Consider the following 22,391-nt stretch of genomic DNA (forward strand, 5'->3'; position numbering starts at 1 on the left):
TCCCCAGAGGCCAATTGCCCAGTGCTCAGTCAAAGCCCAAGGTGGAAGACAAGTGCTTCCCTGATGAGCTGGCCTCTCTGCAGACTGCTCCGTACCCTGTGCTGTCCTGCCTCAGATGCAGAGAGAGCACAAGGCTCCTGCTCACCTCGTCCTCGGTGCACCTGTGTTCTTGCTACCATCACAGCTGAATGCAATGAAAGGCGGTCCTCTGAGAGGAGCAGGGTGGAGATGCTAAAGTGGAGGCCCCCTCCCATTGCTGACAGATCCTCATCTGGCATGCGCTCCACCCACCCCATTCTCTGCTCCCACGTGTGGTAGCCCCATCACAGAAGATGCGACATGGAAAAAAGCACTGTGTCCACCCTAGTTCTTAAATTTGGGCAGGGATTTGGGGTGTATGTTAAGAGTTTTTCAAATTTGCCAGATTGTATGCCTATGTTGTTAAATACACAGTGAATCTCTGGTATGATAGCAGTTTCGGGATAAACATTACTTGAGGTCCTAAAATGCAGAAGGGAAAAAGCAACTTTTGTCAGATGCTTACTTTGCTTTCATTTCATCTCTAATATTTTGGATGGGGAATCATCCAAAGCTTCTGACTGCATGAAGGTCAGGTGTGCCAGTGTGCAGCTGGGTTTCTTTTCCAGAATTAAAAGTACTTTGGGTGGTGGTGAGGGTCAGAGGAAGAAGTAAAGATTGTGAGAAAGGGGAAGAAACATGGGCTTGGGGAGAACCCAGAATTGGGGCCAGAAGACCTGACACTAGGCTACAGCACTTAGCACCTCTGATCTTGTTTTTCCTCATCTGTAAAAGGAGGTTAACAAAGCTTTTCTGCCCGCTTCTTGGGGAGAAGGGAATAACATAATTGGTAAAAAAAAAAAAAAAAGTTTTGAAAAATAAGCAACACTGACTTTATGTAACCAAGCATTATTAATTATCCACCCCATATCACTGGTAGATACCTGTATTCAAGCTATCTGGACATGAAAGCAGTCACATTTTAGAAGTCATGAAGTTGATGCTAATAAACCTAATCTACAAAAATACTCTTGAAAGCCCTTGAGCATTTGTGAACAGAAAGGTTTGAGATTCGGAGCAAGTTCAGAGTTGGATGGTCTAAGAATGGAAAAGCCCTCCATTCCATTAGAAGAGCCAGGTAGCAATTTCTGGTTATGGAACCAGAAGCTCTCAGGCTTCAAATAAAACAGCATCACTTGTACTCTTATAAAACTGTAAAAACAGAAAGACCAAAACCGTATCTACATCTGTCCTATAAGGCAGAGAGTACTTGAGATCTCATGGATTTAAAACCAGCTTACAAACTACATTGCACTATATGAAGAAATTATCACTGTGGGCAAAGCATCAAGCAGAGAGCACAGTATACAGTGTGTGGATGTTAATGTTATTCCCTAGCCTTCCCATTCCTTTGTCTTGGTCCTTTGTGCATATGGAACAGTTCTATTATTAAATTTTGTAATAGTAACTGAGAACCTGACTCTCAGCAAGGGAGTAGTTCAGAAATTGAGGGAGTTTAACTCTGAATGAGTAAATAAAAATAAAGCAATTATGTCATTAGCTTAAAATTTTATCATCATTAAAAATAAAAAGTTTAAAAACAAATACTTAATGTAACAATTTATCACCATGCAATTTGGACTCACGACAATGTGTGGTGTTTGTCAGACATGCACTGTTGCAATGCAGCTTGACTGTCTTGCAGACAGCCTCAATGCTGTTTTTAAATTGGCAGAGGCAGCAGGCCATATGGCTAGGTACGATCCTATAGATGAAAACAGAGAGCAATAAATTAGCGGTAAAGCGGTTACTTGAGTAGGTAAAGGAGGCAGCCAACACTACCACAGGGGTGGGAAAAAGGTATCATTGAAGCCTGTGGACTGGACAGTTGGGTAGGAACCAGAAGGCCAATAGGAAGGAGGACAAAAGTGCCCAACTGAAGGGTAAGCATGGCAGTGAGTATGGTATGCCTAGAATAAAGATGGTTGGGATTAGAATTGGGTGACAGTGATTAGTAGTTTCAGAAGTATCTCTTCCCAACTCAAAAGTCTCACTTTGGGCTGAAAGTACAGAGGAAGAAGGTAGACTTTTAAGAAGTCTGAATAAGCCCCCAACTTCCGGAGTCCCTTTCTCAATTCCTGTTGGGAGTGGGAAATATTATAAATTACTCTGGGCATTAAAAATAGCTTAGTTTAACCTGGATTGCGGAGTTAAAAAATAACAAAGACTGCATTGGTCAAATCTGGACAATTTGAGCATTCAAAAGAATAACAACAATAAGTTACAACATATTTAATATAAAGAAGAATCCACGAAGAGTGATATTGAAAAAGAAAGAGGGGGAGTTCTTCTTCAATGAAATAATGCCAGCTAGTAAATGTAGAAGGAATGACAGAATTTTTAAAAGTGTCACTTTGCAACCGTCAGTGCAATACAAATTCATTCAGACAAGGATTATCATTGATGCACATTTGGGTGAAAAGACATTTGAGAACAGGATCTTCACTGAACTCAAAGTAACAACCCACAGATTATTTATTAATTACCAAGGGGAAAATTATTATTTTTTATTTTTATTTTTATTTTGTCACCCAGGCTGAAATACAGTGGCAAAATTATACCTCATTGCAGCCTCAACCCCCCTGGGCTCAAGGGATCCTCCAAATTCAGCCTCCTGAGTAGCTGGGAGTATAGGCTTGCACCACCATGCCCAGCTAATTTTTTTTTTTTTTTTTTTTTTTACTTTTGTATTTTCAGTAGTGACAGAGTTTCCCCATGTTGCTCAGGCTGGTGTAGAACTCCTGGGCTCAGGCAATCCTCCCACCTCGGCCTTCCAAAGTGCTGGGATTACAAGTGGGAGCCACTGTACCCAGCAAAATAATTACAATGGAGAGATCTGGAAGATCACCTTAGTCAAGTGATCAAACTTAGTATTACAGGCCATCTGCGGTTACGAGGCAGGAAGAATACATCACCTATGCAGTATTTTTCCCAAAAATGCTTAACTTGAATTTCGTCATGAGGAAACAGACAAATCCAGATTGTGGGACAATTTACAAGACAACTATCTTTGACTCTTAAAAAATGCCAATGTCATGAAAGAGCAAAGAAAGTAGAGGCATGTTTTAGATTAAAGGAAATGAAGACATGACATGCAGTGCCTGATCTTTGATTGGATTCTGTACTATTCTTTCATCTTTCTGGCTTGTTTGAATTTTTTTCAATACGTAAATTTGGGCAAAAGAGGTAACCGAGACAACTGATTAATTTATTGTTGTGGCTTATTGGGGGCACTTTCAGAGAGATAAAAACAATCCCTGTAACTGAAGTAAAAGGTTAATCTTAGGCAGTATAGCATGGTCATTAAGAATACAGATTCCATAGCCAGACTATGCTTCAATCTCAGCTCTGCTAATAATGTGAATTTGGGCAAATTGTTTAATCTCTGTTCCTTGGCCTTGTCATTATAATAGTACCTACCTCTAATGAATTTTGAGGATCAAATGAATCAATACCTGAAAAATGCCTGGTGCACAGTGAGTGCTCAATAAGAGTTAACTATAATTATTGTGTTGCAGAGGTTGTGGGGGGCCTTTTCTGAGTCCTCCAAAAGGATGGCTTTATTGGGGCCATATTAAGACTGTGGAAACAGAAGAGGGTTTCATGGATACAAGAAGTCTATGAGTTGGGGGTACAATGTATAGAGTTTTAGATTAAAACTGCATCCAATAAGTTGGCCTGACACATCTTTCAAACCTATAAAGGAACAATCACAAGTGACTAGTATTATTCCTTTGGGTCCAGTGGAAGCCTCTGATCTTCATATGGAATGGACCCGGAACCGTAACCCAGCATTTTGTTATATAGCAACTTTACCTCTGCCACAAAGGTGTTTCTTTTGTTTATTTTGAGGCCAGGTCTCACTCTGTTACACAGGCTGAGTGCAGTGGTGCAATCTTGGCTCACTGCAGCCTCTGTCTCCTGTGCTCAAGTGATCCTCCCACCTCAGCCTCCTGAGTAGCTAGAACTACAGGTGTGTGCCACCACACCTGGCTAATTTTTGTATATTTTGTAGAAATGGGGTTTCACCATGTTGTCCAGGCTGGTCTCGAACTCCTGGGCACAAGCAACCCTCTCTCTTTGGCCTCCCAAAGTGCTGGGATTACAGGCATGAGCCCAAAATTTTTGTTATTCTTTTTCTGCCCCCAACTTTTTATTTTAAACATTTTCTTTTTTTCCTTTAAGCCTTAGGATGGCTGGGAAACATTTTCAAATGGTATAATGAACACCTGTATAACTTTCATCTGGAATCAATAGTTGCTAATACTTTGCCACATTTGCTTTCCGTGTGTGTATGTCTATACATTTTCTGGACAAAACCATTTGAGAGTCAGTTGCAGACATAATGACCCTTCACCATTGAAGACTTCAGTGTGCAGCCCCTAAGAACCAAGGCATTCTCCGACATAACCAGAGGACTGTCATCACTCAATGGAACTTCATATTATCATTGTCTACTATGCGGTCCGTATACACATTTTCACAATTGTCCCAATCATAACATGGCTTAAAAAATTCAGAATCCAATCAAACATCAGACATTACATTTAGTACATGATTCTTTAGTCTCCTTCAATCTAGAACTGTTCCCAGGATTGTTTTAAAGTATACTGACAAATCTTTGAGACTGTAAATGACCTGAGGTATACTTGAGAATAATTTTTCAATACACATGAAAGATCATTACACATGAGCCAAGACTCAAATGAGCTGGCCTACTTACTTTGTACATAAATGTGTAAACTCCTGAAGACTTCCAATAATGAACTCCCATAAGACAGTTAGTTCAATGTCTTTATGGCCTTGGTGACAAATCATTACAGAGGATGAGAGCATTTTTCCTATCCAATAATGGTCAAGAAAAAAGCAGACAGATCCTCACTATCTTAGAGAACTAAGTGAGAAAGCTGGTCGATGAAGGGGACTTCATCCAGAGAGGAAGGGATCCAGCTGACGGGGAAGATGCTACAGGAGGCTGAGGAAAGTGAGGCTAGAGCAGTAAAAGAGATCTGACAACCTGGTGAAGATAAGAAAGTGACCTGACAAAAATGAACGGAGCAGAGTGCTAAATGAAGGGCCCTTTCCATGCTAATCTTGCATAATGCCCTCAACCAGCCCTAGCATAACTGAGTCTCTATTTAGCTTGCCATATTGTGGGGGCTGGTGGCACAATTGAAGTTGCAGTAAATTGTGTAACAAACTCACAATAGGGCCCTGCAGGCATATATATACATATATACACGTACATATATATATATATACATATATACACGTACATATATATATATATATATATATATATATATATATATATATTTTTTTTTTTTTTTTTTTTTAGACAGGGTCTTGCTCTGTCACCCAAGCTGGAGTGCAGTGGTGCCATCTTGGCTCACTGCAACCTCCACCTCCTGGGTTCAAGTGATCCTCCTGACTCAGGTTCCCTAGTAGCTGGGACTACAGGCGTGTGCCACCACACCTGGCTGATTTTTATATATATATATATATATATATCCTGCAAAGAAGGCCAGGCACGGTGTCCCATGCCTGTAATCTCAGCACTCTGGGAGGTGAGGCAGGAGGATCACTTGAGACCAGGAGTCCAAGACCAGCCTGGGGAACATACTGAGACCTCATTTCTACAAAAAAATAAAAAATAAAAAAGATACATCACATATGCAAATTAACTCAAAATGGATCATAGACCTAAATGTGTATCATTTCTGGGAGAAGACATAGGAGAAAATCTTTTAGATGCTGGATTAGACAACAGGTTCTTAAAGATTTCTTAGGTAAGAAACAAAAAATCACAAGCCATTTAAGAAAAAAATGCTAACTTAAAGCTGGTCAAAATTAAAAACTTCTGCTCTTCAGAAAACATTTTTATTTCTTACTTTTTTTTTTAGACAGAGTCCCACTCTGTCGCCCAGGTTAGAGTGCAGTGGTGCAATCTCGGCTCATTGCAACCTCCACCTCTCAAGTTCAAGCACTTCTCGTGCCTCAGCCTCCTGAGTAGCTGGGATTACAGGCATGTGCCACCACACCTGCCTAATTTGTGCATTTTTAGTAGAGATGGCATTTCCACACAACCGGAATACTACTCAGCAATAAAAAGGAGTGAACAGTTGTCCCGCAGTGTCTGCAGGGGATTGGCTCCAGGACCCCCTGCAGATAGATACCAAAGTCCACAGATGCTGAGGTCTTTTTTATGAAATGACATAATGTTTGTATACAGCCTCAGGTATACTCTAAGTACCTAATACAGTGTAAATGGTATGTACATAATTATACTGTATTTTAAATTTTCTACTGTTTTTATTGTTGTATTGTTGTTTTATATATTTTATTTTTTCCAAATATTCTCCATCCATGGTTCGTTGAATCTATGGATGAGGAACCTGCAGATATGGAGGGCCAGCTGTAGTGATAGGTGCAACAACATGGATGGTAGCATAATCTCAAAAAAAATTCTGCTGAGTGAGGCCAGGCAAGGTGGATCTTATCTGTAATCCTAGCACTTTGGGAGGCTGAGGCAGGCGGATCACTTGAGGTCAGGAGTTCGAAACCACCCTGGCCAACATGGCGAAACCTTGTCTCTACTAAAAATACAAAAATTAGCCAGGCATGGTGGCATGTGCCTGTAATCCCAGCTACTCGGAAGGCTGAGGCAGGAGAACCACTTGAACCTGGGAGGTGGAGGTTGCAGTGAGCCTAGGTCATGCCGCTGCACTGCAGCCTGGGTGACAGAGTGAGATTCCATTTCAAAAACAAAAAAAAAAATTAGGCTTTGTGAAAGGAGCCAAACACAAGAGGCTACGTGCTATATGATTTCATTTATAAGACATTCTGGAAAAGGCAAAAGTATAGGAACAGAAATCAGATTAGTAGCTAACAGGGGCTGATGGTGGGAGGATGGGATTGCCTACAAAGGGACAGGAGGGGCCTTTTTGAGGCATCAGAAATGCTTTATATTGGGAATGTGGTGGTGGTTATGTAACTATACATTTGTCAGACTCATCAAACTGTACACTTAAAAAGCGTGAATGTTACTATATGAAAATTATACCTCAATGAACCTGACTTAAGAAAATAATAAAACAAACCTAAAGAAACAACTACGTAAAAATAAATCTCGGAAAAAAATAACTTACAGTTTTTCCAGTTCAACAGTCATCATGAGAATGTTCTTAAGTGTTGTAAGTGGGACTAGCGTTGTTCCCATGTCTCTGAAGAAGAAAGCCGAAACATTCATGATATGAGCCCCAATAAAAAATTCTGTACTTAACAATTCAATTTTGGCTTCTCTATTAAACAAGCCAGCTCAAGAGTTTATTTGCTGTAGAATTCCAGGGAGCTCTTATTAAAGAAATTAAAGTTGATTTGCATCATCAAATTAATGATACTCAAGAGCAGAACTTACACTTTTTTTTTTTACCATTATCTTCTCATTTTCATATTGCACTCACCATCTTATTTACTCTTTTCTTTATTTTTAGAATAATGAACACCTTTTCCCCTTTGCTTTCTTGGTTAAATAATATTCCTCCATGTGTCTACATGTTGCAAATCTATATGGGTTCTTCAATGCTGTTCTCTTCCCCTGCTGGCTGTCTTGACCATTATACATCCTCTTAATTTTTTTCTTCGCCAATAACTTTTTTTCAATAACCCAGTTAAAATTTAAATTATGACATTTTAGCCTAAATGCAAAATACTTAAGCTTTGATGAAAAATTTAAAAAGCATAAATCATCTCTTGACTCATGAGAGTACTATAGTACTTACAGATATTTTAATGCTGGCAATTTAAAGAGATATGGATCTTCAACAGTTGTCAGAGGATTGTGATTGAGAATTCTGAAAAATGGAATGGAATTAAAATAACCTGCATTTTCAATGTGTAAAACTGCATGAAAAGTTTACATTCATTTTTTGGTATGGAACTTGTAGGTAAAAAAGAAAAAAATGTTTCCTGTCTTTACCTAAGAAATCACCATTAGACTCCGTAAAGCACTATTCCTATGGGAACTACCGAGGTCTCTAGAAGATAAAGGATAGAACGCGGGGAAGAACTACAAGGAAAAAAAAAGTGGATAGCAAAGAAAAAATATGCCACAGAACTTTTCAGGTCAAAAACCCTAAAAGTGACTATGTTGGTAGGAAGCCCTGACTGCGGAGGAAACAGTATTTCTAGCAACCTCCATAATTCAAGTTGTTCATCTATTTTTTTTTTTTTTTTTTTTGAGATGGAGTCTCGCTCTTGTTGCCCAGGCTGGAGTGCAATGGCTCGATCTTGGCTCACTGCAACCTCCGCCTTCCAGGTTCAAGTGATTCTCCTGTTCTGCCTCAGCCTTCCGAGTAGCTGGGATTACAGGCACCCACCACCACGCCCAGCTAATTTTTGTATTTTTAGTAGAGACGGGGTTTTACCATGTTGGCCAGGCTGGTTTTGAACTCCTGACCTCAGGTGATCTACCTGCCTCAGCCTCCCAAACTGATAGGATTACTGGCATGAGCCACTGCGGCTGGCTGCTTGTCTTTTATCTTTATAAAGTTTTTAAAATTTATGGTTTAATTTGCACAGTTAAAAAAAAATAGGACCAATTATTTTGCTTTATAGCCAAAGAAGGAATAAATCTAAGAGGAAGAACTGGTCAAAACCATACTCCCACTTGTCCTCTTGTATGACATCACAGCCTTTCTTACATTGCATGTAATCACCTGTCCACTTGTCAGGCTCCTGGACTATGAGCGCTTTGAGGGCAGAGACCACATTTTTTTTTTTTTTTTTTTTTTTCTGAGACGGAGTCTCACTCTGTCGCCCAGGCTGGAGTGCAGTGGCGCAATCTTGGCTCACTGCAATCTCCGCCTCCCAGGTTCAAGCAATTCTCCTGCCTTAGCCTCCCAAGTAGCTGGGATTACAGGTGCCCGCCACCATGCCCTGTCATCCCCGTGCCTGGCATGATGTCTGAAATGTATTAGGCATTTAACAAATGTTTATTGAATAAACAAATGACATTTTGTTCATATGTCAATAAAATGAATAAATTGATTTTGATGCAAATTTTTATTCCAAAATGCTGGAATCAATTTTCTTTTTAATTCTTTAAGGTGAACAAGAAAAATAAAAGAAACAGGAAGAAATAAAAGAAAATCTACCTTTAGGTTAACCCAAGAATCATCTTTGTACTTAGGCAGAAATTATAAAAATAATAATTATTACAGTGAGTATCTACTGGGTTGCCAGGTATTTGTGATCAGCAAATACCTTATGTGGTAGATATTATTATTGCCCTATTTTTAAATGAGGAAACTGAGGCACAGAGAGGTTATATAACTTGTCCTAGGTCACCAAGCTATTAAGCAGCAAAGCTGTAATTTGAACTCATGTGTTTAATCTGTATGAAGAAAAAGGGTTTATTTTAACCTTAGGTTTTTTAAAAATTTTCATTTTCGTTCTTCATTCTTTTTCTTTCTCTCTCTTTTTCCTTCCTTCCTTCCCTCCCCCTTCCTTCTATTTTCTTTCCTTTCCTTTCTTTCCTTTCTCCTCTCCCCTTCACTCCCCTCCCCTCCCCACCCAAACAGGGTCTTGCTCCATTGACCAGGCTGGAGTGCAGTGGTGTGATCTTGGCTCACTGCAACGTCCTCTTCCCAAGCTCAGGTAATCCTCCTTCCTCAGTCTCCCAAATAGCTGGGACTATAGGCACGCACCACCACGCCTGGCTATTTTTTGTGTTTTTAGTAGAGATGGGAGTTTCACCATGTTTGCCAGGCTGGTCTTGAACTCCTGATCTCAAGTGATCCGCCTGCCTTGGCCTCCCAAAGTGCTGGTGTGAGCCACTGGGCCCAGCCTTAATTGTGAGAAGACTAAATACAGAAGTGCCTTTCAACCTTCTTCTACTCCTCTGGGAGGACCTCTATGAGAATTACAATTTCTCATTAGCAGGGCACGGCAGTGCTTGCCTGTAATTCCAGCTGTTTCAGAGGCTGAGGCAGGAGAATTGCTTGAACCCGGGAGGCGGAGGTTGCAGTGAGCCAAGATCAAGCCACTCTACTCCAGCCTGGGCGACAGAGCAAAAAAAAGTGGATTACAGTTTCTCTTTTTATGTCTTTCCCCTAATCATTTCCCATGATTAAATAGTTAATTAGTCTATGGTCAATGAGACTTTTTTTTTTTTTAAGAGACACATTCTCACTCACTGTGTTGCCCAGGCTGGAGAGCAGTGGCTATTCACAACCATGATCCCACTAGTGATCAGCATGGGAGTTTTGACCTGCTCTAGTCCTGAACTGGGCTGGTACACCCCTTTTTAGGCAACCTGGTGGTCTCCTTTTCCCGGGAGGTCACCATACTGATGCTGAACTTAGTGCGGACACCCAATCAGCATAGCATGCTACAGCCCAGAATTCCTGGACTCAAAGGATCCTTCTTCCTTTGCCTCCCGAGTATCTGGGACTACAGGCATGTACCCAGTGAGCCTTCAGAGATTTAAAATCATGTCGTAAGTGACATCAGTGAAAATGGTGGAATAAAGACATCCAGGCTGGGTGCGGTGGCTCACGCCTGTAATCCCAGCACTTTGGGAGACCGAGGCAGGCGGATCACGAGGTCAGGGGATCGAGACCATCCTGGCTAACAAGGCGAAACCCCGTCTGTACTAAATATACAAAAATTAGCTGGGCGTGGTGGCAGGCGCCTGTAGTCCCAGCTACTCGGGAGGCTGAGGCAGGAGAATTGTGTGAACCCGGGAGGTGGAGCTTGCAGTGAGATGAGATTATGCCACTGCACTCCAGCCTGGGCAACAGAGTGAGACTCTGTCTCAAAAAAAAAAAAAAAAAAAAAAGAGAGACATCCAAAAATTCATCCCTTCATAAAAGCAACAAATACCAAAAAAATAGCCAAAAAAAAAAAAAAAAAAAAATTGACCAGAATAAACTTTTTCAGAACTCTAGAAATGTAACCAAAGTCTTGCAGCAACCCAAGGAGCATTTATTCAAGAAAAATTTCTGTAAGAATAGTGAGATTTGTGTTAACTTGCCTTAGACCATTCCTCACTCTCTAGCTCAGTAGTCGCCTTGAAAAACAGCCCACATCCCCAACCAGAGGGAGCAGAATGGAGATGGAGCTCCTTCAAAGCCTTATTCTCAGTTAACTGTCATGATGTCATCTGTCTGGTGGTTCCCTGGAAGACCTCATTTGAAAGGTCTGTCTTTATTTGACCAGAATGAAAGCTGTCTAGTGCTAAAGCCTCTCCACAGAGGGTGTTTTTGGAAAACAATTACAGACAAGTGTTTGAACATGGCAACTGTATTCGGCAATGAATAACAGTTTGGGGGAAAAAAGCCTAATCAAAAAGCTTAATAGGAAAAGCTGAGGAATAAGATGTCCACAGGAATTTGAAACACACTGATATATGCTTGGGAAACTAGAAGTCCATAAGACATATTCCTGGCAATTTGGAATCTCACGCGCATGCATAGGGCAGACTGTCAGCATGGTCAGGAAAGACCTACTAAGTTCATAAACTCTCACCCCTGGCTGACACCTTGAGGTTCTGCACAAGCAAGAAGTGAAAGCTAAGGCATGGCTGTAAATTGTCTAGCTGAGTGCTGAAGGTATGCCCCAACATGTACACAGAGCCCCTTGGCAAAAACTAGGAGACTTATCAGTTCCAAGGATTTAAGTAAATCTTCATTTAATCATTAGCTGATCAGTAAGCTAACCGAGGAGGGACTTTAGTGGGAACACATGACATATAATGCGAGACTTTACAGAAGAAGTTCAGAAAAGTCACTAAATAAATAGCAACTACTAACACAAGCAGGAGTAACACCAAACCCTGGCAGCATGGATCTGATTTTCAGAATTGCTACATTATATTATTTAAAATATTCAATTTTTAACAAACATTTATGAAAGATGCAAGGAAACAAAGTATGGCCCAAACACGTGGTTGGGGGAGAAATAAGCAGAAATTGTCCCTGAGAAGGACCAGATGTTAGACTTACTAGACAAAGATTTTTTTATTTTTTATAGGTGGGGTCTTGCGAAGTTACCCAGGGTGGTCTTGAACTCCTGGCCTCAGCCTCAACCTCAGCCTCAGCCTCCCAAAGTGCTGGGGTTATAGGCACAAGCCACCATGCCTGGCCTAGAGAAGGATTTAATTCAGCTATTTAAAATATGTTCAAAGAGATAAGAGAAACGATTCAGTTCTGTAGACTAGAGAACTAAAGGAAAGTATGAAAGCAATGTCTCATCAAATAGAGAATATCAATAAAGAGATAGAAACCATAAAAAGGAGTCAAATAGAAATTCTAGAGTTGAAAAGTATGGTAACTGAAATGGAAAAATTATTAGAGGTTCTCAATGGCACATTACAGCAGGCTGAAGACAGAATGGGGAACTTGAAGGTTAATTGAGATTGTTGACTCTGAGGAACAGAAATAAAAATGAATGAAAGTGAATGGAATCTCAGAGACCTGTTTGTGGAACACATCATCAAGCTTACTAATGTACACATAATGAGCATCCCAGGAGAAGAAAAACAGAAAAAAGGAGAAAGAATATTTGAAGAAATGATGGCCCCAAACTTCCCAAACATGATGAAAAACAATCTGCATATTCAAGAAGCTCAAGGAACTACAAGTAGGAAAAACTGAGGGATCCACATCTAAACATACTGTAATCAAACTGACAGAAGGCAAAGACAGAATATCTTGAAAGCAGCAAGAGAAAAGCAACTCATCACATACAAGGGATCCTCAATAAGATTAATAGCTAATTTCTCTTCAAAAACAATGCAGGTGCTGGGCATGGTTGCTCACACCTGTACTCCCAGTACCTTGGGAGGCTTGAGGCTCAAGAATTGCTTGAAGCCAGGAGTTGGATACCAGCACTGGCAATAGAGTAAAACCCTGTCTCTACAAAAAATTTAAAAATAACTGGGCATGCCCGTCTGGGATGTGAGGAGCGCCTCTGCCCGGCCGCGACCCCGTCTGGGAGGTGAGGAGCGTCTCTGCCTGGCTGCCCCGTCTGAGACGTGAGGAGCCCCTACGCCCGGCAGCCGCCCCGTCTGAGAAGTGAGGAGCCCCTCCGCCCGGCAGTCGCCCCGTCTGAGAAGTGAGGAGCCCCTCCGCCCGGCCAGCCGCCCCATCCGGGAGGGAGGTGGGGGCCAGCCCCCGCCCGGCCAGCCGCCCCGTCCGGGAGGTGGGGGGTGCCTCTGCCCGGCTGCCCCTTCTGGGAAGTGAGGAGCCCCTCTGCCCGGCCGCCACCCCATCTGGGAGGTGTACCCAACAGCTCATTGAGAACGGGCCATGATGACGATGGCGGTTTTGTTGAATAGAAAAGGGGGAAATGTGGGGAAAAGATACAGAAATCAGATTGTTGCTGTGTCTGTGTAGAAAGAAGTAGACATAGGAGACTCCATTTTGTTCTGTACTAAGAAAAATTCTTCTGCCTTGGAATGCTGTTGATCTATGACCTTACCCCCAACCCAGTGCTCTCTGAAACATGTGCTGTGTCCACTCAGGGTTGAATGGATTAAGGGCGGTGCAAGATGTGCTTTGTTAAACAGATGCTTGAAGGCAGCATGCTCGTTAAGAGTCATCACCACTCCCTAATCTCAAGTACCCAGGGACACAAACACTGTGGAAGGCCGCAGGGTCCTCTGCCTAGGAAAACCAGAGACCTTTGTTCACTTGTTTATCTGCTGACCTTCCCTCCACTATTGTCCTATGACCCTGCCAAATCCCCCTCTGCGAGAAACACCCAAGAATGATCAATAAAAAAAATTAAAAAAAACAAAAACAACAACAAAAAAAACTGGGCATGGTGGTGCATGCCTGTAGTCTCAGCTACCCAGGAGGCTAAGGTGACAGCATTGCTTAAGCCTGGGAGGTGGAGGCTGCAACGATGTGAGTGGTTGCACCACTGCACTCCAGCCTGGGTAACAGAGCAAGACCCTGTCTAAAAACAAAGCAACCACACACAACAGTGGAGGACAAAAGGCAATGAAATGGCATATTCAAAGTTCTGAAGAAACTGTCAACCAATAATTCTATACCTGGCAAAACTACCTTTGAAATTGAAGAGAAATTAAGATATTCTAGATAAATAAAAACTGAGAGACTTTGTTGCTAGAAGACCTGCCCTATAAGGAGTACTAACGTGAATCTACACAAAGAAATAAAAAACACTGGCTGGGCGCAGTGGCTCAGGCCTGTAATCCCAGCACTTTGGGAGGCTGAGGCTGGAGGATCACTTGAGGTCAAGAGGTTGAGACCAGCCTGGCAAACATGGTGAAACCCTGTCTCTACTAAAAATACAAAAATTAGCTGGGTGTGGTGTTACGTGCCTGCAGTCCTAGCTACTCAGGAGGCTGAGGCACTAGAATCGCTTGAACCTGGGAGGCAGAGGTTGCGGCGAGTAAAGATTGTGCCACTGCACTCTAGCCTGGGCAACAGAGTGAGACTCTGTCCCAAAATGAAGAAAAAAAAAAACAAAAAGATACTTACATAATGCAATAATTATAAATCTAGTTGATGAACATAAAGTATATAAAGATGTAATGTGTGACAATAACAGTATAAAGGAGGGGGTGAGAGTGGAGCTTTAGAGAAGCAAAGTTTTTGTATACCATTGAAACAAAGTTGGAATTAATCTGAACTACAACGTTATAAAATTAAGATGTAGCTGAGACGACAGATGCGCACCACCACACTCGGCTAACTAAAAAAAATTTTTAGAGATAGGGTCTCACTATGTTGCCCAGGCTGGTCTCAAACTCCTGGCCTCAAGCAATCCTCCTTCCTTGGCCTCCCAAAGTACAGGGATTATAGGTATGCACCACTGCATCTGGCCACAAACATTTTGTTTTTTTACTGTTCATTTTTCAAGACAGGTTTTCACTGTTTCCCAGGCTGGAGTGCAGTGGCACAATCATGGCTCACTGCAGCCCCAATCTCCCGGGCTCAAGTGATCCTCCTGCCTTAGCCACCTGAGTAGCTGTGACTACAGGCATGTGCCACCACGTTCAGCTAACTTTTAAATTTTTTTTGTAGAGATAAGCTCTCAGTATGTTGCCCTGGCTGGCCTTGAACTCCTGGGGTCAAGCAATCCTCCCACCGCAGCCTCCCAAAGTGCTAGGATGACAGGTGTGAGCCACTGCACTGCAAAAATACAGAAGACCAAATTATTAAAATTAGAAATGAGAGGGGACATTACTATTGTTCTTAGAGACATAAAAAGGATTATAATATGAATAAAAAGGATTATACATATATACAATATATGCTAATAATTGGATAAGCTGGATGAAAGACACATTACCAGAAAAATATGAACTACTGAATCTGACTTGAGAAAAAAACAGAAAATCTGAATAGACAGACCTATGTCAAGTAAAGAGATTGAGGTAGTAATCAAAAAACTTTCCACTAAGAAAAGCTGAAGACCAGCAGGCAGCCTCACTGGTGAATCTACCAAATACTTAAAGAAGAATTAACACCAATCCTTCATAAAGTCTTTCAAAATACAGATGAGGAAAGAACATTTCCTAACTTATTCTATGAGGGTGATATTAACCTGGTATCCAAACTAAAGACATCACACACAAAAAATTACAGACCAGTATTTCTTATGAATGTAGATGGAAAAATGCTTGACAAAATCTGTCAAACCAAATTCAACGGAGTATTCTGTAAACATGAAGCCGATAATAATAGCACGATTCTCCAAATTGATCTATGGTTTCACTACAATTGTTGTTTTTTTGAGTGAAAAAGTTTTCATTTATTGGCCGGGCACAGTAGCTCATGCCTGTAATCCCAGCATTTTGGGAGGCTGAAGCAGGTGGATCATCTGAGGTTAGGAGTTCGAGAGCAGCCTGATAAACGTGCTGAAACCCCATCTCCATTGGAGTCTCACTCTGTTGCCCAGGCTTGAGTGCAATGGCGTGACCTCGGCTTACTGCAACCTCCACCTCCCGGGTTCAAGTGATTCTCCTACCTCAGCCTCCTGAGTAGCTGGGATTATAGGCGCCTGCCACCACGCCCTGCTAATTTTTGTACTTTTAGTAGACATGGGGTTTCACCATGTTGTCCAGGCTGGTCTCTAACTCCTGACCTCAGGCGATCTGCCTGCCTCAGCCTCCCAAAGTGCTGGGATTACAGGCATGAGCCACTGCACCCTGCTAACATATCCTCTTTCTAAAAAGCTACATATATTGCAAAGTATTGGAGTGGGAATAACATAGCAGTTAGGTTGGGCATTTGGGTTGATTACATATCTGCTATTATCAGTACAGTTCTTATCAAAATCCCAGCTGGCTTCTTTCCAGAAAGTGACAAGCTAGTTCTAAAATAATAATGCAATTTAAGGCACCCTAAATAGCAAAATAATCTTGTAAAATAACAAAGTGGGAAGACACAAATGTCCCAATTTCAAAACCCAAATCAAATCCACAGCAATCACAGTGTGATACTGGAATGTGGACAGACAAATAAATCAATAGAATAGAATTGACAACCCAGAAATAAACCCTCACATTTATGGAAAATTGATTTTTGACAAGGGTGCTGAAACAATTCTACGTGGAAATAATGTTTTTTTTTTTAAAATGGTGCTGGAACAACTGAACATCTATGTGCAAAATAATGAAGGTGGACCCCCTACATCTCACACGATTATAAGAATTGATGCAAAATATGTCAAATACCTAAATGTAAGAGCCAAAATGATAAGACTCTTACACAAAAACATGGGAGTAAATCTCATGACCTTAAATTAGACAACAATTTTTTCCTCTCCAAACTGGATTTTTTTTCTTTTAAAACAATTTTGTCTTTTGAATTTAATGAAGTATTACTAGCTGAAGGCAGCCTGACATGGTGAAAAGAATGTCAGACAGATGAAAGGGACACAGCCTGATTTAAAACCAAACACTGAACCTTTTTAAAGAAGAATAAGACATTTTATACACACACATGACACCAAAAGCACAAACAACCAAAGGAAAAATAGATACATTAGATTTTATCAAAATTAAAAACTTTTGTGCATCAAAGGACACTGGCAAGAAAGTCACAGAACTCACAGGATGAGAGAAAATATTGGCAAATTATCTGTTAAGGTCTAATATCCAGAGTATCCAGAATATATAGAGAATTCCTATAATTCGATAAAAAGACAAATCAATTTTTTAAATGGGCAGAGGATTTGAATAAATATTTCTTCAAAAAAGATATATAAATGGCTCATATACACATAAAAATGTTGAATGTCTTAAATCATTAGGGAAATGTCCATCAAAAACTGCAGCGAGATACTACTTTACACTCACTGGGATGGCTATGAGAAGAGACAGACAATGACAGTGTTGACAAAGACCCGGAGAAATTGAAACCCTCAAACATTGCAGATGGAAGTGTAAAATGGAGCAGCCACTGTGGAAATCAGCCTGACAGGTCCTCGAAAAGTTAAACATAAGAGTTGCCATATGATCTAGCAATTCTGCTAGGGATGCACCCTAGAATTAAAAACATGTCCACACAAAAAGTAGTAGATGCATGTCCATAGCAGCATTATTCATAAAAGCCAAAATAAAGTAGAAACAACCACATGTCCACTAAGTGATGAATGGATGAACTGATATAGTGATGGCTCCATACAATGGAATATCACTCAGCCTTGCAAAGGAATGATCCATGCTGCAGCATGGGAGGACCTTAGAAACAACATGCTTCGTGAAAAGAAACTAGACACAAAAGGCCACATACTGTATGATTCGTTTATATGAAAGATCTAGAATAGGCAAATCCATAGGGACTCAAAGTAGATTAGTAGTTACCTGGGCCTGCGGGAAGACAGCACTGGGGAGTGATGGCTAATGGGTACCATGTTTCTTTTTGGGATGATGAAAATGTTCTGGGGTTAGATAATGGTGATTGTTTTCTATACAACCTTGAGAATATACTAACCACCACTGAATTGTACACTTTATAATACTGCGTTGATGGTATGTGGATCAAGTCTCAATGTAACACAAAGAAGCATGTTGTACTGTATAGAACACCAGGTGCCAGAAGACCAAACATGCTGGCAGATGGAAAAAAGAGGAGTGAAGATTCACTCTCCCTTGACCAAGATCAGAGTGAGTCAGTGGCGAGGCTGGGAGCCACACAGCTTGTCCTGCCTTGTGATCCCCCTCCTCTTCCTATTCCATATGGTTTTTCAGTGCCATTAACTTGTTTTGTAACACTAATATTCAATAAGATGATGTTACAAAGAGAAAGAATGTGAGTGCCACATGACTGGTTAAGTATGGATTCTCAAACTAGGGCTTTAAATATCCTTCGTGATTTTTTTTGGCATGAAAACTTGTAAGACCACTGGTGGGCTCTGTACAAAGTCGGCTACCCCCTCATTCTATATCTTCCTCTGCCCACTTTCCTCCCAGCTATTAAAAATGAATGTAGGCTGGGCACAGCATCTCAAGCCTGTAATCTCAGCACTTTGGGAGGCCAAAGCAGAAGGAGAGCTTGAGCCCAGGAGTTTGAGACCAGCCTGGGTAACAAAGTGAGACCCTGTTTCTATTTTTTCTTAAACACCAAAAATAATGACTGTAAGGCAGTATGTAGCCAAACAACTTAGCAAAGTTTGTTATCTTTCCTCCAAAATTCTCTCACTCTCCAACCTTCCCTCTTTCTTGATAGCTCATCCATAGCCTTGAGCTCAGCATTACCTCTGAACTAGGAAGCTCTTCTCCAGCTGACATTAGGATCTTTGCATTTGTCCCTAATGAAATCAAAATATAGGGCCATTCGATATTATCCTATTTTCCTCCTGTTCTAAGGCATTCTTTTCTTGACTAAGGTTGTGCCTGGGCCGTGGAGAGACTGAGTGGGAACTGGCTCAACGGCTCAAGTTTGAGGACTCTACAGCAACTCTTTTCCACAAACCAAATGATATGAATGCTTTTATTTATTTATATTTATGTTTCCACTTTTTAAAAGTCTTTTTGTAGAGATTGGGGTCTCACTTTGTTGCCCAGGCTGAACTTGAACTCCAGGGGCTCAAGCGATTTGCCTGTCTTGGCCTCCTAAAGTGCTGGGATTAAAGGCATGAGCCAGCGCGCCCAGCCTCGAGTGTTTTTAGATTCACAGTAGATGATCATTTCCATTTCTGGTTCAAGTCCTTCATTTTATACATTAAACTAAGGTGCACTGACTCCCAGTCCATCGACTTTTTGGTATCTTTATGGGAGTAAAATGTGGCAAGCTTTTTTTCAGCCTCAAAGACTGTCTCAGAGTAAAAGTTTAAGAAGTACTGCTCTAAATAATTTTATTAAATATGCCTTATTAGATGAGGAAAACTGAAATATTTTTATATAAGCCTTTTGCTGTAGAACAATGGGACAGAATAAAGGTAGCTCACAAAATAAGGGAACATTTCTTGCCTGTTTTTTTTTTTCCCCTCCAAATTCTTCTACACAGGTCCAGATAGATGGGCTATGTTTCCTTTCTATTAACTGAGGAGACAGAGATGAAAGGACTGGAGCATGTCATCACTGTCTTAAATGTACTGAAATTCTAACAGCTCTAGCTGAAAAAATGTCCAAAGCAGGCCGTGAAAATAAATTTAAATGACAAACTCCAAAATGATCTATGCTAGAATCCCAAGGCTGTCAGGGAAAACTGGTTCCATGGAAGAAGGTAGTCAAAGAAATAAGCAGATGACCTAGACCCTCACCCAATATGCGCGATGTACTTGGGGAGAAAGTAACCTCTTTCCTTTATTCATCTACATAGGTTCGTGAGCCACACATCTCCCCACACCAAGCTCCTCCATACAAGACCTCGGACTGCATCACGTAAATGCTTTTTCAGGGGCAAAATCTAGAGAATCTGAAACAGTGAGCCTTTTTCTTTTCTTTTCTTTTCTTTTCTTTTTTTTGAGATGAAGTCTCACTCTGTTGCCCAGGCTGGAGTGCAGTGCAGTGGTGTGATCTTGGCTCACTGCAACCTCCACCTCCTGGAGTCAAGTGATTCTCCTGCCTCAGCCTTCAGAGTAGCTGGGATCATAGATGCCCGTCCCCATGCCTGGTTAATTTTTGTATTTTTAGTAGAGACAGGGTTTCACCATGTTGGCCAGGCTGGTCTCGAACTTCTGAGCTCAAGTGATCCACCCACCTTGGCCTCCCAAAGTGCTGAGATTACAGCATGAGACACCATGCCCAGCTGTGAGCCTGTATCTTAATCAAAGTCCTGAGAATAACCTTGAAGAAGACTCCCTTGCAATGAGCAACAACAGAAGAAGCAAGGGACCTGGAATCTGGCAGACCTGGGTTTGAATTCTGGCTCTGTCACTTTCTGGTGAAGTGACTTGAGTAATGAACATGAGCCTTTCTGGGTAGCGTTTACAGCACAAAGCAATTTGAGGAATAAATGAAAGAGCACGTCTAGTGCCTAGCAATGCGCTGGACACAGTGCCGGTGCTCAGCCATCATGTCACACCAGCACTGACCGGTGAGCATAAACCCTGGGGATGCCCAGAGCTGGTACAGCCAGGAGCTCCAGAAGCGTGGGATTCTCAGAGGGAAGTGGAGCTCACTGCTCTACAGGTCCTATTCAAGTTAGAAAGTAAGATACAATGCACACAAAGCCAAATTGTCATCATTCAGCTCCTATTACAGGGGAACTAAGAGCTGCATTGAAAATTATTTGCAAAGCTTGTAAGTGGTTCTGCCACTTATTAGCCGTGTGAACCTTAGCAAATTACCTAGCGTCTCTGAGTTTCAACTTCCTCATCTACAAAATAGAAATGATAATAATAACCGCATCGCAAGAGTTGTTGGAAAAATGAAAATGAGGTATCATAGGAGGTAACATGTATGGAGCATTTACCATAGGCCAAGCACTGTTCTAAGAACTTCGGACATGTTATCTCACTTGTATAAGTACTTAGGTGCCTACAACATAAACAGCACCTGGTAAATTAAGTATTGAAAAAATGCTATGGGGCAGAGGAAGAAATGCTAAGCTTCTGTGAGAAGAGAAGACAGCTTGTTACACAGGTGAAAAGAACAAGCTGCAGCTGAGAGAAGAAAAGTATAAGAGTTGTTAGGTGTGACAATCTCAAGACTTTTCAACCACTACAAATTTAAACAGCCACCCTAAATCACCCCAAAGGACAGACTCGAGTTGTTCTTTTTGTCTTTAATGTTTGCACCTCTCCGAATCAGAGAAGAAGCTGCCAGGATTCCAGTACATACCAAAACATGATGACAATACCCTCAACTGTGCAAACTTTTGTGCATCTACCGCTATGTAAAGGAAGCTGATGTCAGTAGACTGGGGGGAACAGTAAGGCATGTTTGTGACCGAAGCTCAATTTGCCATCACAGTGTGGCCACACCTACCTCACTAATATTCTAATAGTGGGATAAATAATTCAATAGGGATAAAGCCTGGATTTTCCTCTTATTCTTAGTGCTTACATTCTTGGCATGATATCGATGTGCCATAGACAAGCCAATATGTGAGTGTACTCTATCTGAATAAAGTATAGCCTTTCTACATTGCAAAGTCATCCAGTTTCTAAAATTATTGTTAGAACCAATGAAGTGACTAAGAGAATTTTAAAAAATAAGCCATCAGTCTGGACCTGTGTATAGGAATGAAGGAGAAGCACTTTAAAGTCAGGGAAAAAATATAAACATACTTAACATTTAGGATTATCAACCATTGCTGCTTTTCCATAAACCATTTCATTCATGATTTCATCTGTAAGAGATATGATTATTGCCCCCATTCAGTGAGGGGCTTTGATAGTTAGCCGCCTGGTCCTTCTTGCTTGGATGCCCTGCAAATAAATGTCCTCCTTTCCCCAATGCAAAACCTCGATATGGTTGTTTGACTTTACTGTGCTTGGGCCAGCAGAATCCAGTTAAGTCCACTAATAAGCTCTTGGCCTGTCTTTGAGATGGATTTCAGATTCAAAATAGACAGACCCTATCACCCTGCTAACTTGGCCAGTCAGTATTTGTCAATAACATAGAGGCTTCATTCAAGAGATTTACTGGGTTGTAACTATTGGAACCCAGGGATGATTTCAGGATTTTGTGGGGCCTGAGCCTTATCTAGTAAAAACATTAAAAAAATTATGACTACAAAAATTTCCAGGGGCCCTCCCAGGACCTTGGAAGGGCCTGTGCAAGTGAGAAGCCTGGAAGGTTAGGCTCTATTCATCATCGATCAACCACAGCTGGGGCCTCTTTTTTTGTTTGTTTTTTATAAACTTGTGTAATGCAGGGAAATATA

General features: G+C 41.2%; 1 protein-coding gene, 1 long non-coding RNA gene and 2 pseudogenes across 3 annotated transcripts in view; 2 read left to right on the plus strand and 2 right to left on the minus strand.

Moving 5' to 3' along the window:
- LOC105376844 (uncharacterized) overlaps nucleotides 1-22,391 on the plus strand; it is a 59,955-nt gene that overhangs the window by 11,425 nt on the left and 26,139 nt on the right. The window lies entirely within an intron of this gene.
- Nucleotides 1-22,391, minus strand: part of LRRC37A3 (leucine rich repeat containing 37 member A3) — a 65,349-nt gene that overhangs the window by 7,106 nt on the left and 35,852 nt on the right. For both annotated transcript variants that reach the window (NM_001303255.3, NM_199340.5), the window contains 3 exons: nucleotides 7,860-7,931; nucleotides 7,227-7,301; nucleotides 1,665-1,783 (listed from right to left, as the gene is read on the minus strand). In NM_001303255.3, coding sequence (NP_001290184.1) covers nucleotides 1,665-1,783; nucleotides 7,227-7,301; nucleotides 7,860-7,931 — 266 coding nt within the window. The remainder of the gene's footprint in view (nucleotides 1-1,664; nucleotides 1,784-7,226; nucleotides 7,302-7,859; nucleotides 7,932-22,391) is intronic.
- LOC102929163 (ARF like GTPase 17A pseudogene) lies at nucleotides 9,650-21,656 on the plus strand (annotated as a pseudogene).
- Nucleotides 10,269-10,549, minus strand: RN7SL404P (RNA, 7SL, cytoplasmic 404, pseudogene; annotated as a pseudogene).

Source organism: Homo sapiens, chromosome 17 (genome assembly GCF_000001405.40).
Source record: "Homo sapiens chromosome 17, GRCh38.p14 Primary Assembly".
Taxonomy (NCBI): Eukaryota; Metazoa; Chordata; class Mammalia; order Primates; family Hominidae; genus Homo; species Homo sapiens.